Below are 13,758 nucleotides of genomic sequence, written 5' to 3' on the forward strand. Positions count from 1 at the left end.
CAAGAGATCGAGACCGTCCTGGCCAACATCATGGTGAAACCCCGTCTCTACTAAAAATACAAAAATTAGCTGGGCGTGGTGGTGCGCGTCTGTAGTCCCAGCTATTCGGGAGGATGAGGCAGGAGAATCCCTTGAACCTGAGAGGTGGAGGTTGCAAGTGAGCCAAGATCACGCTGCTGCACTCCAGCCTGGTGACAGAGCAAGACTCCATCTCAAAAAAAAAAAAAAAAAAAATTCACTGGCAACTTTTGGAAGAGACTAGAGAAGCAATTCATTATTTTGAAAATTGTTCTTTTGGGGGAAAAACTGAAGCATTTACTCTGCTTTGCTTTGTATCAATTATACTATGAGGCAACCAAATAGAAATGCAGAGTTCTCTTTATAAGCCGGGCTCAGTGACTCACACCTGTAATCCCAGCACTTTGGAAAGCAAAGGTGGGTGGATCACCTGAGGTCAGGAGTTTGAGACCAGCCTGGCCAACATGGCAGAATCCCATCTCTACTAAAAATACAAAAATTAGCCGGGCGTGGTGGCGTGCGCCTGTAATCCCAGCTACTAGGGAGGCTGAGGCAGGAGAATTGCTTGAACCTGGGAGGCAGAGGTTGCAGTGAGCCGAGATTATGCCACTGCACTCCAGCCTGGGTGACAGAGCAAGACTCTGTCTCAAAAACAAAAAATCAAAACAAAACAAAAAGTTCTCTTTATAGAACTGCTCCTCCTAACAAATGAAGAAGTAAAAACAGTATATCATTGTTTTGCAACTCATAATGAAATAATCAATCAAAACAATGATCATCAATGGCTGCCAATATCAAACGTTATATACCTTTTGTTGAAAGTACACAACACTTTCTATACAATCATCTTGAGTAAAAAAAGAACAAAATCAAACTGACTACAAGTAGCTCTCTAGACTTAGCTGCTAATTTGTCAGCACCACAGGAGCTGGTGAAACACATTAAACAATATCATGTGGATGTAATCAACAAACCTAGACAAAAGGTCCTGTTTCTTCAAAAATGAAAAGGGAGAGTGAGAACGAGGATGAGGGAGGAGGAGGATGTAGGGTGTGGAGGAAACAGAGACAACAGAGAGAAGAGAGGAGTCCTATAGGATAATTTGGGAAATATAAAATGTATTTGATGATATTAAGCAAATATTTTCCGGGGCTGGGTGCGGTGGCTCACGCCTGTAATCTCAGCACTTTGAGGGGCCAAGGTGGGCGGATCATTTGAGGTCAGGAGTTCAAGACCAGCCTGACCAACATGGTGAAATCCCATCTGTACTAAAAATACAAAAAAATTATCCGGGTGTGGTGGCGCATGCCTGTAGTAGCAGCTACTCGGGAGGCTGAGGCAGGAGAATCATTTGAACCTGGGAGGCGGAGGTTGCAGTGAGCCAAGATCGTGCCACTGCACTCCAGCCTGGGTGACAGAGCGAGACTCTGTCTCAAAAAAAAAAAAAAAAGAAGTGGGGTGGGGGGGTTACTTGGGAATACAGTCTGAAATGTTTAGAGTAGAAGTGATATACTTTCGGGGATTTGCCTCAAAACAGAGAATAGGAAGTGGGTAGGTAGAGAGGAAACCAGATGGTAATGATAATAATGGTTAGAGCTAATGAGCAGTGTATGGTATGCATTATGTTACTTTTTTATTTTGTATATGTTTGAAATTCTTCATAAGAGAAAAAATAAATGGTCCATGTGCACCTGTAACATAATAATGACAAGATATGTCAGCCTAAGAATAAATATGTCTTAAGTTATCCCCTTTACCTCATCTTGGCTTCAAAGTAACTATATGCTTTAATCATTATAGTTTGTCTAGGTCCCCAGAGAGTGTTTTTAGATTTTTATTTGTTAGTTTATGAACTTCAGTCAAGTAATCAGAAAGCCAATATAATAAAATAGTCTTTAACTTTCTGGAAAACATGCAAGCATAAATAACCATCATTTATACTTCTGTAGCAACAGTGACATTGAATCATACTCAAAGCAAAGTATCTAAGATTCAGAGTAAGTAGGATTCTCACTTGTCCAATGCAAAGATTCAGCTACATCTGGTGGGTAAAGGAGTTAAATATTAACTTCATCTTTTAGTATCTATTTAGATCTAATTTGTATAGGGGGTTAAGGATCTCCTGATAAAAATAAAATTAATAACTTAAAACTCTCCATAATTAGACAACATATTAGCTTTCATGCCCATCAAATATGAGGAGCTGCAAAAAGCACAGTGTCAAGGGGTAAGTCTAGTGTTCTCACGTAAAAATCATCTTGCAGATACAGACAGGATAAACTAAATAATAATGAGGCCTAAGATTTGGAGTGGAGGAGGAGTCCCAAGTACACCTTGATGGCTGTTACCTGCACTTACAACCAAAACAGCCATTTTCATGTCAAATGTGTGCCCTGGGATACAAGATCTATGTATACATTTTAAAGAATTATTTTATTACAAGTCACTCTTTGGGGTCCAGCAACTCTACTATGCCTCCTTTATAACAGAGAACAGATTAAAACACTGAGAATGGGAAGTTTCCCCTTGCTGCTTCATGGATGTAAGTTGAGTAGCTGCGACTTCATGCAGACTGAAAGAACCAAGCAAAGCACCAAACAGTGGCATTGAAGAGGTTGACTGACAGTGGTCTAGGGCACAGTTTGAGCTGCAGCACCCGTGGAGGGAAACCTCTGTCTAGATTATCATTAGCGTAGCTGATAGAGGTGAGAAAGGTTCTGGGAGAAGCATCCAATCACAGAGCTAAGTCAAGCATCAGTCCAAATTTCAGAATGTCTGAGTGATAAACATCCTGCAGGGACAATGATGCAAATTGGAGTAGAAAACACTGAAGAGTGGCCAAGGTCTTGCAAATGCACATGGAGATGCTAACAAGCTAGCAAAATCCTGGTATAAAGCCAACACTACCCATGATTACACAGGTTCATAATGCCACAGGCAGTTTAGGTTACAATAAAATTCATGAATTCTTCAGTGCTTGGCTGGGCAGGATATGTACTGAACAAAGCACTCCCGTAGGTACTGAAAGGCAGTGCCTATTCACTAACTGGTGATGTTATTCATCCGTTTCCTGAACCAGGAACATAGGAGCCCCTTTGTCTCCTCTTTCATCCCTCCCAGCCAGTCCATTGCTCAATGTCTAAAATTGGATTCCCCAAGATCAGACTTAAATGACAAATTTGAGTCCATGTAGCTGATTATGATGGAGATCACAGAAAGCATCAACAGGAAGTGAGAAACAGGAAGATCTGTGATGGAGATCACAGAAAGCATCAACAGGAAGTAGAGAAGTGAGATAGAGAAGAAAGGAACACACAGAGTACATTAATGAGCAAGTTATGACTATGGATGACTGGGACTTAATGCCACTGGAGACTTCTAGCAAATGAAATAGACATGCCTCATGCATCCTATTTGAGTGTAAAAAGTTTAGAGTTTTTATCATCCAATTCTCATCTATTATTAACCTGAAGAATGCTGCTTGGGTCTTCAATATTCCAGCACTTCTAGCCTTCCCCGCAGTGGCAAACCCATCAGAGAAAGTCTTCAGGTGCACGCAATTAGATGATGAGACAAAATGGGAGCGCTGAAAGGGTACGGACAGCGTCCACTAGATTTAAAGAGTACCCTACATTTATCTTATAGTGTAGACTATAGCTGTTCTTGCTTTTTTGTACCAAATGACTCATCTTTTTTTCCTTCCTTTAGAAACAAGATTGAAAATGTAATCTCGGTTGAACAGGAAGCATGGAGATAGTTCAACTGAATTGGAAGTTGCTGGTTGTAGAATATTTCTATGCATTCTTCAAGACAGTGCCATGTGAAGCCTCTTCTGACCTGTCCAGTTAGCTTTTATTTCTCTCTCTTTTGTGACAGCACTGTACTTTGCACATCTTATTGTTTCATTCTTCACACTTTTCAGTATTATACTTATCTATCTTCCAGTAAATTCTTCTTAACAGACTATCATTTTCTTGAGAGCAAGAATTGGGTCTTCGTTCATCTTTGTATTTTAGGCATGGAGTATAGTCCCCAAGAACCAGTAAGTGTTCATCAAATGTTCATCTGTTGAATGAATAAATGACTGTGTGCATTGCTGCTAATGATATTCTTCACCATTTTCTTCAGAATCTGCTTATGCTGGTCAGATTAAATGGCTTTACTTGAGCTGTTTCCAACTTTCAAACAGATTTTTTTTTTTTTTCTGACAGTGATTTAACACCACTGAAAGTTTTCAGTTACCTTCCAGTTGTTTTAAAACATGAAATAGCTATTTCTGGTGAAAGGAAATAAAGGAGAAGAGATAGTTCTCACTTCAATTTGAGTTTTGAGAGGATCGAATTGCTTCAGCCCAAGGGGTCAATACTGACAGGTCATCCCTAGCAGCTGGAGAGTATGTCAAGATAATACTCCAAAAGATATTTTTATCCTTCATTTGCTACAAAGATAAATAAATGCATATATACAAAGTGAACAAAAGCTTTGAAAATAGTAAAATGTTAACATAGGATAGTATAGTCACTGTTATTGAATGAATGTTTGTGTCCACCCAAAATTCATATGTTGAAATCCTAACTCCCAAAGTGATAGTATTAGGAGATGGGTTTGGGGCTTTTTGGGAGGTGATTAGGTCACGAGGATGGAGCTCTCATTATTGGAATTAGTTGCCTCGTAAAAGAGAACCTACAGGCCAGGCGCGGTGGCTCACACCTGTAATCCCAGCACTTTGGGAGGCCAGGGTGGGTGGATCACGAGGTCAGGAGTTCAAGACCAGCCTGGCCAAAATGGTGAAACCCCACCTCTACTAAAAATACAAAAAATTAGCCAGGCGTGGTGGTGGGTGCCTATAATCCCAGCTACTTGGGAGGCTGAGGCAGAGAATTGCTTGAAACCCGGAGGCAGAGGTTGCAGTGAGCCAAGATCGTGCCACTGCCCTCCAGCCTGGGAGACAGAATGAGATTCTGTCTCAAAAAAAAAAAAAAAAAAAAAAAAAAAAAGAACCTAGAACGCTCCCTTTCCCCTCCACCATGTGAGGAATCATCAACAAGATGAACGTCACTGAGGAAGCGGGCTCACAAGACACCTAACATGCTGGTGACTTTTGGACTCACCAGCCTCTAGAACTAGGAGCAACACATTTCTGCTCTTTATAAACCACCCAGAAATATAATATCTATATGTATATAGCCACCACCCATATATGTACACACACACAGTTTATCAATTTTTGAAGTGAAATAACATATAAATTAACAAAAATTCTCTCACGTGCTACCACATACATAGATAAAATATGTATGTATTTTATACATACATATATGCATGTATACATACATATACATAAAACATGTATGTACCACATACATAGATAAAATATGCTACCACATACATAGATAAAATACTTGCCCAGATACATAGATAAAAATTCAAGTACCATCAAAGTCTACCTTCTTCCTATCTATAAAGCTATAAAATGAGTGGTATGAGACTAAACAGAAATGTTCTGTGCTTTTTGGCACAAACGCATATTTGTTTATTTATTATGTATGTATTTATAGTGTTTTCATACAAATAGAACAATTTGACATATATATAATAAACTAGAACACATATGCACATATGTATGTACATGTATGTATGCATACATATGCACATATATATGTTCTACTTTTGTGCAATTAATACTACATAACGATCACATTTCAACATCTGTTTATATAAATTCATCTCTTGTTTAAAACTGTAGTATAAAGGGCACAGGCATGGACTACCACCAAGCTATGTCCATTTAGATTACCTATTTTACTATTACCTAGCTACAAAGAAAACCCATGTCCATCTAAACCCTTACTCATGTGAAAACATAAATGAAGGGCAAACTCCTTGAAGTAGAATTGCTATGTAAATATGTAATTATACTTTTAATTTTGAAAGATAATGCCAAATTAATCTCAAGAGTCTGGGCTTGTGTTACTCCATAGTCAATGATGGCGATGGTCCTCAACTCTTGCCTCCAAAATGCATTCATTCTTGAATAACTTTGATCAGATGAGACACTTATGATCTCAATGCTCATTCTCCTACTACTCTTTGGATAACCTTGTTTGACATTTTTTTTTACAGTGTGTAAAGCAAAGAGAAACTCCAAACTCTTTACAAATATGCTTTGCTAAAGAATAAGACCTATTTGATAGCACAACAGGGTAAGTATAGTCAATAATAACTTAATTGTAAATTTAAAAATAACTAAAAGAGTGTAATTGGATTGCTTGTAACATGAAGGATAAATGCTTGAGGGGTGTATATCCCATTCTCCATGATGTGATTATTTCACATTGCATGTCTGTATCAAAACATCTCATGTACCCCATAAATATATATATCTATTGTGTACCCACAAAAATAAGATACTAAAAATACAAAAATTAGCTGGACATGGTGGCGCACACCTGTAATCCTAGCTCCCCAGGAGGCTGAGGCAGGAGAATCGCTTGAACCCGGGAGGCGGAGGTTGCAGTGAGCCAAGATGGCGCCACTGCACTCCAGCCTGGGTGACAGAGCGAGACTCCATCTCAAATAATACTGATAATGATAATGATAATGATAATAAAAATAATAACGAAATTCAGTGGATTCTGAATAAGGCACAATAAGAAGAATTTTCTTTTTCTTTATTTAGTCTTAACACTGAAAAGTCTTAATGAATGTGTATCTACCATGTGAAATTAGACAGAATTTAACAGTTTAAAATATTAATGGAAATATTTTTCATTTAATCTATTTGTTCTAAACAATTGCTAAAATATTTTGGTTACATCTAACCTCACAAAGGCAACCATTTTCTATTACTTTTCTATATTCACTTTTTTCCTATTATTTACTGGGTTTCTTCTGTTATTGTTGTTGTTTTTTCCTTTTTGAGACAGAGGTTCACTCTTGTTGCCCAGGCTGGAGTGCAGTGGCGCAATTTCGGCTCATGGCAACCTCTGCCTCCCGGGTTCAAGTGATTCTCCTGCCTCAGCCTCCTGAGTAGCTGGGATTACAGATGCCTGCCACCAGGTCAGGCTAATTTTTGTATTTTTAGTAGAGATGGGGTTTCACCATGTTGGCCAGGCTGGTCTTGAACTCTTGACTTCCAGTCATCCGCTTGCCTTGGCCTCCCAAAGTGCTGGGATTACAAGCGTGAGCCACCGCACTCAGCCAGTTTGTTAGGTTTTTATTAGGTGCAAGATTGTGCTGTATTTTTTAATCAATAAAAACACAAGCAAGCCACAGCTCCAAGAAGTGTACAACAAATGATTTGACTGGAGAATAATTTTTTTAACTAAATACTTGGTCACACTATATAAGTGGCATGTGAAGAAAAAACAGTCACTTTGGGCCGAAAATTTCAGGGAAAAAAACCCTTATGGAGTAAAAATAACTTTATAGTTTATTGCTGAATGATTTACATTTTTATTGATACAGCTAACTTGTATATACTCAGTGTTAGTTCTTAATCATATTTAATGCCTGTTACACATGCCACATTCCTCATGAAACTATTCATGATTCTTCTCCCCATACCAATAATTTGTATTATTCCATTCTCATATAACATGTTTTCGGTATGCTTTTAAATTGACAATATATTTTAATTTCTCTTATAATTTTCTATGTTCTATGTTCTATAGTATTAAAAGATTCATGACCTAGAGACACACACATATATATATATGTGTGCACACATCCATATATATTTAACTTTATAGAATTCTTGAATTTGACTGAATAGAAAGTGGTGGCCAAGAATATTAAATCTACCTAAAATTCACAGAGGTTTGAGATTCACAAAAGGTCACTTGATTTGGCTTACAGGTTCAGGGGAGAAAAGTAAATTTCATGGAAGAAAATCATAAATATTTGCGAGTAGATAAGGTAGCAGATGTAGACGTTATCTATAGGGAAATCTGACAGCAAAAGGAATGAGAGCTAGGATGTTACATTCAGGGGCCTGAATTACAGTTTGCTACAGATACAATACATCCGCACTTAGCAAAAATTACATTTATAACCTTGGCTTTTAATCAAGGTTTACCATAATGAAAAGCTGTGAAGAACTTGTATGACTCGCTTATAATTTTTTTGGTTTTTTTTAAGATAGGGTCTTGCTCTGTAGCCCAGGCTGGAGTGCGATGGTGCAATGATGGCTCACTGCAGCCTTGACCTCCCGGGCTCAAGAGATCCTCCTACCTCAGCCTCCCAAGTAGCTGGGAATACAGGCATGCACCACGACGCTCTGTTAATTTTTGTATTTTTTTTATAGAGGTGAGGTTTTGCCATGTTACCCTGGCTTGCCTCAAACTCCTGAGCTCAAGTGATCTGCCCACCTTGGCCTCCTAAAGTGCTGGGATTACAGGCATGAGCCACTGTGCCCAGCCTAAAAAAATTGTTATTGATGTCACTAAAAACTGCTCAGGAGGAAAATAAGTAGGTCTTATTGTGATGAAACAATATTTTATTGAAAAAAATTGATCAACATTTTTTATTTAAAAACAAAACTGGGGCTATTTTATTCAGTAATATGCCAGTATTCACATAGCAAGAGTTTTGAGCATAGGCTTTGGAGCCTGAGCATCTAGGTTCAAATCCTGACTTTAACATTTATTAGTGGGACGATGGGTAAGTTCATTAGCATCTCCGTACTTTAGTTTCTTTCCATATGTTAAATATGGATAATAATGGTGTCTAATTCATAGGATTCTTATGAGAATTTAATGCCTGATTATAAGTGAGGTTAGGATGGTACCTTGACATAGTAGCTGTTTTATCATTGTTCTGGATTATTATATTTATTATCTATGCCTATTTTATATACCATACATGCCTGTAAATAAAGTTTGTCTAGGATGCCATGGAAGACCAGAGTTCACCACCTTTGTGGAGATTTGATAGGATTTTCACCATTAGATAATAAGAGCTATATAATGTATGTTTCCTCTTTAGTCTGGGCTCCCATGATTCTTGGTGCCAAACGTTTTGGTTTAAATTCAGTAACTCCAATTGAGCCATATTTCTGTCAAATTCTTCCAAATGTCAACTATATGTGGCTTCTAGTCAATTTGACCTTGTTTTACTGATTCTGATTTAGTGGCAAGATGGTAGATGAATGCAATGGTTTATTCTCGTGATTTTAAATTTAATCATTTGTAATTATATACTTTTAAGACGTAAAGCTTCACCTGTCATAAAACATGCCCTTTATGGCACAATGGTTTTAAAATATGGTCCCAAAACTCATTGGCAAATGGAAAGGTAGGGTCTATGTCCTTTCCTCTTCAATCTGGGTGAGTTTGTAACTACTTCAACAGATAGAGGATGGCAAGAGTAATGTTTTGTGCCCTCCATGGCAGGGTCATAAAAGACCATATGACTACTACCTTGTTTGCTAGAACAGCGTTTGCTTGGAACCCTGAGTTACCATAGAAAATGTGTGAGTATCGTAAAGCCACCATGCTAGGAAGAAGCCAAACAACATAGCAAGTTCACATGTAGGCCTTCAGAATTCCACCCTCCAGCCATTGAGTCCAACTTAGCTTTCAAGTCTTGACAGATGAGGCTATAGATATTGCAGAGCATAAACAGAACATCCCTGCTGTGTCCTATCTGAATTTATTACTCACAGCATCCACGGCATAATAAAGTAATTGTTTTAAACTGCTAAGTATCAGGGTGATTTTATACACAGCAAAAGTAAGTGGGATACCCTGCCAATATGTCTACATATTTCCAAACAACTGAAAACATGCACACCCCAAAATGTTTTCTTAATGAGAAAATACAACTCACTTTTTTATTTCTGTGCCTTGATTAAAAAAAGGCACGTCCACTAAAAGAATGATAATTTTTATTCTGATTATGGGATAAAGAAACATATGGCCATTTGTGACATACAAAAAGTCTACTGGAAGCAAAAAGTGGGAAAAAAAAGCCTTACGAATACCCGTAAACTGGTGATAAATGGACAAACAAAATTTGGTATATCCATACAATGAAATTTTATTTAGCAAATAAAAGGAATGAAAGACTGATACATTCTACAATATGAATGGACCTTAAAAACATTATGCAAAATGAAAGATTACAGACACTAGAGGCCACATATAGTATGATTCCATTTATATGAAATGTCCAAAATAGGCAGATCTATAGAGACACAACACAGAGTAGCGGTTGCCAGAGGCTAGAGGGAGAGAGGAATGGGGAGTGACTGCTAATGGGCATACAGTTTCTTTTGGGGATGATGAAAGTATTCTGCAACTAGATAGTGATGATAGTTGCATAGCTCTGTGAACATACTGAAAAAACACTGAATTGTACACTTCTAGAGAGTGAATTTTACAGTATGTGAATAATATCTTAATAAAGCTGCTGTAACAAAATCCCCAGGATATCCCATTTCTAAATAAACGTATTTTTCCCTTGAGGTCTTCTGATGTTTACACCTCTTTTTGTTGTGCTGTGGCTTTTTGGAAGCAGATTTCTCTGGGTTTGTTCATTTTTGTTTTATTTCAGTATTAGAACCAACCCTGCTTATATATCCTGTCTTTTTTTAAATTTAAGGCTTAACAACAAACAAACAGTAGCAATAATCCCAATTCCCGAGTGATTCAACAAGTTTTATTGTGCAGATGGTAAGAAACTGTTTCCCTCATTGTTTGCTACCAGGAGAAAGGCTGTGAAATAGTTCTTCTGGGTCAAAACATATGGTTCACAAAAATGACTTCCTTTCATCTTGGTCTCTTCTTGCCTTCTGAAAGACCAATTCCTCCTAATTTTAAGTTTACTTTTGGCAAAATGGTCTCATGTATTAATGACTTTATTTGGTTAACAAAGTAACATGTTTACAGGCATGGGAGAGGATAAATGAAGCTAGAAAAAGGAGTACTGAAAATATTAGGTTAATGTGTTATTGTTTTCAAGAGCCATCTATAACATCCTTGAAACTTACACAACCACTGACTAAACATTTTATTTAGAATAATCAGGAACCAGTGGAAAATCTGCTTATCTAGACCTTGAAGCATCATTTTTTTTTTCTGAAAATTTCTTCCTGATTACATCCAGTGGCAGATACTGCTATTTGCTTGTTTGCTTGCCCAATATCCAATAAACCCAGCAAAGAAATAGTTGTCTTGATGGACTATTAACAGCCAACCCACAGTAAAAACAAATTCTAAAAATTTAAAAAGCATAGTAACCAAAAAATATTCACTCCACATTTTGCTTTTTAAACTTTAAAAAATGCTTTTTTTTTTTTTTTTTTTTTTTGAAACCCTGAAAAAGTAGACAGTAAGCCAGCTCCTGGAAGAATTGGAAATCAACTGCATGAGGGTCTAGGAAGCTGAGAGGCTGAAGCAGTCTCAGGACAAGTAGATAGGGAGGAGTCCTTTTTCTCTCAACAACAAAATCGTGATTTTGTTTAGAAGTAGCAAGGTGTCAAGCAAGAACAAAGAGCTCTATTTCAAGCATCTCTGGCACCCAGTCATGGCCTTTTGGCATCTGAGAGGACGACAGCTAGGGATTTCTGGGATAGTTTTGTTTTCCTGATGTACATGCTGCCTCTTCCTTCTTCTTGCTTCCTTTTTCATCTTTCTGCTCTGAAATGTAAGACTTGAGGCTGGAGATGTTGAAACCATCATCTTGCAACCAAGAGTTGACAAGCATGAGAATGATAGTAAGGTGTAAAAGAGCAAGAAGATCAAAGGGGCCTGGGATTTTCATGCCATCACAGGGCCAGTTTCTTGCTTTAGACTCCATTCCTTCAGATTCCATCATATGAGAAAGTTAAAATCCTCTGGTTCTAGTTTCTGCTACTTCGATGCAAAAATGCAATCCCTGGCCTGGCACGGTGGCTCATGCTTGTAATCCTAGCACTTTGGGAGGCCGAGGTAGGTGGATCATTTGAGGTCAGAAGTTTGTGACCAGTCTGGCCAACATGGTGAAACCCCATCTCTACTAAAAATACAAAAATTAGCTGGGTGTGGTGGCGCAAGCCTGTAATCCCAGCTACTCGGGAGGCTGAGGCAGGAGAATCGCTTGAAGCTGGGAGGCGGAGGTTGCAGTGAATTGAGATCGCGCCTCTGCACTCCAGCTTTGGTAATAGAACGAGACTCGTCTCAAAAAAAAAAAAATACAACCCTCACTTGCAGTTCCTCTCAACTGGGCACACCACCATACCCTGGGTACATTTAAGAAACGTGAAAGCACTGTGATTGTCCCCATAACGGATGGAAAGGTGCTCTAAGGACGCCAGACATCCAGTAACACGCAGGAAAGTCCAGGAAAATGAGTAATTGTTTCATGTCCTATTCAGCTTTTGAAAAGTAGGGGACAGCCTGTTTATAAGTATGTGAATATATAGAACCTAGCTCAATTTTACATATAAATACAAAGTCTTTATATGCACTGCATTTTCCAAGAATGAAACTATCCCACAATAAATCAAAGGGAAAATGTGCACTTATTTTATTCAGAACTTTACCAAATGTTATTAATCATACAGAAAAATCCCATTACTTTAAAATATGCTGTTCATGGCATTTTAATCATTCATACCACTCACCTGCATACGTCAGCATTTCGAGCTGTCTACTTCTGTGGTTTTAGGTACAGGTACTACATTTATCTAGAGCAGTATGTACCTTTCTTATTTTCATATTGAATAATTAATTATTGATGATAAATATATCCATTATTTTTAATTCATTATTGTCCTTTGATTTATTTTTTACAAGGTAATTGTTTTAGAATTTTATATATATATGTAAGTTACATTTTTGGTAAATTCTCTTTGAGGATAGTAATGGGAGTATTACAAAATATGTCTTACAAAAGAGGGTGTTCAGTCTTACAGGGTTAAAACCTATACGGTACATAGAAGAAAAAAAGTTTTTAAAAGAAACACGGTAGCCTGGCGTGGTGGCTCACACCTGTAATCCCAACACATTGGGAGTCCAAGGTGGGGCGGATCGCTTGAGGTCAGGAGTTTGAGACCAGCCTGGCCAACGTGGCAAAACCCCATCTCCACTGTTACAATAAAAATACAAAAATTAACCGGGCATGGTGGCACACCCCTATAGTCCCAGCTGCTCAGGAGGTTGAGACAGGAGAATCGCTTGAACCCAGGAGGCGGAGGTTGCATTGAGCCGAGATCATGCCACTGCACTCCAGCCTGAGTGACAGAGCAAGACTCCATCTCACAAAAAAGAAAAAAAGAAATAATGTATACATATTTAGAAAATAAGATAATACACCCAATTGATTAAATTATGATTTTCATCTGTAAATGTTCCTATGCCTTCAGATGTTTATTTTAGGACTGTGGCCGACTTGGTTCTAAAGAAGATGGATCACCAGGTCATTACAGGGCTTTCCTTCACAATTAGAAACTAAATATAAGACTCAACCCAGAGTAATTTCAGAAAAAAAATAAAATACCAATATAAGGTGTATTGTCAAAGATAATTGTGCTCCTGCAGCTTTTCTGTGTATAATAGACTCTTCCTTCCTTGTAGCAGCTTGCCTAGATTGTGAAAAACATGGTGTTTGACCCTTAGAAAGGTCAAAGACTTATATAAGATATATATGTATATATGAGCATATGTATGTGTGATATATATATATATCACACTGATATCTATATATGTACATATATCAGTGTGGGAAGGAAATGGAGGAATAGAATGTTAATTGGAACAA

The 13,758-nt window shown here is 37.9% G+C and overlaps 1 protein-coding gene across 17 annotated transcripts in view, besides 1 other annotated feature; it reads right to left on the reverse strand.

Moving 5' to 3' along the window:
• Positions 1-13,758, reverse strand: part of DMD (dystrophin) — a 2,220,167-nt gene that overhangs the window by 1,844,820 nt on the left and 361,589 nt on the right.
• Positions 11,981-12,480: an enhancer, noted in NCBI's record as "NANOG-H3K4me1 hESC enhancer chrX:32994139-32994638 (GRCh37/hg19 assembly coordinates)". NCBI's record gives its function as "activates a minimal SCP1, AML or CMV promoter by ChIP-STARR-seq in primed H9 embryonic stem cells {active_cell/tissue: H9 hESC(primed)}" and the evidence as "EXISTENCE:reporter gene assay evidence [ECO:0000049][PMID:30033119]".

This window comes from Homo sapiens, chromosome X (assembly GCF_000001405.40).
Source record: "Homo sapiens chromosome X, GRCh38.p14 Primary Assembly".
Taxonomy (NCBI): domain Eukaryota; kingdom Metazoa; phylum Chordata; class Mammalia; order Primates; family Hominidae; genus Homo; species Homo sapiens.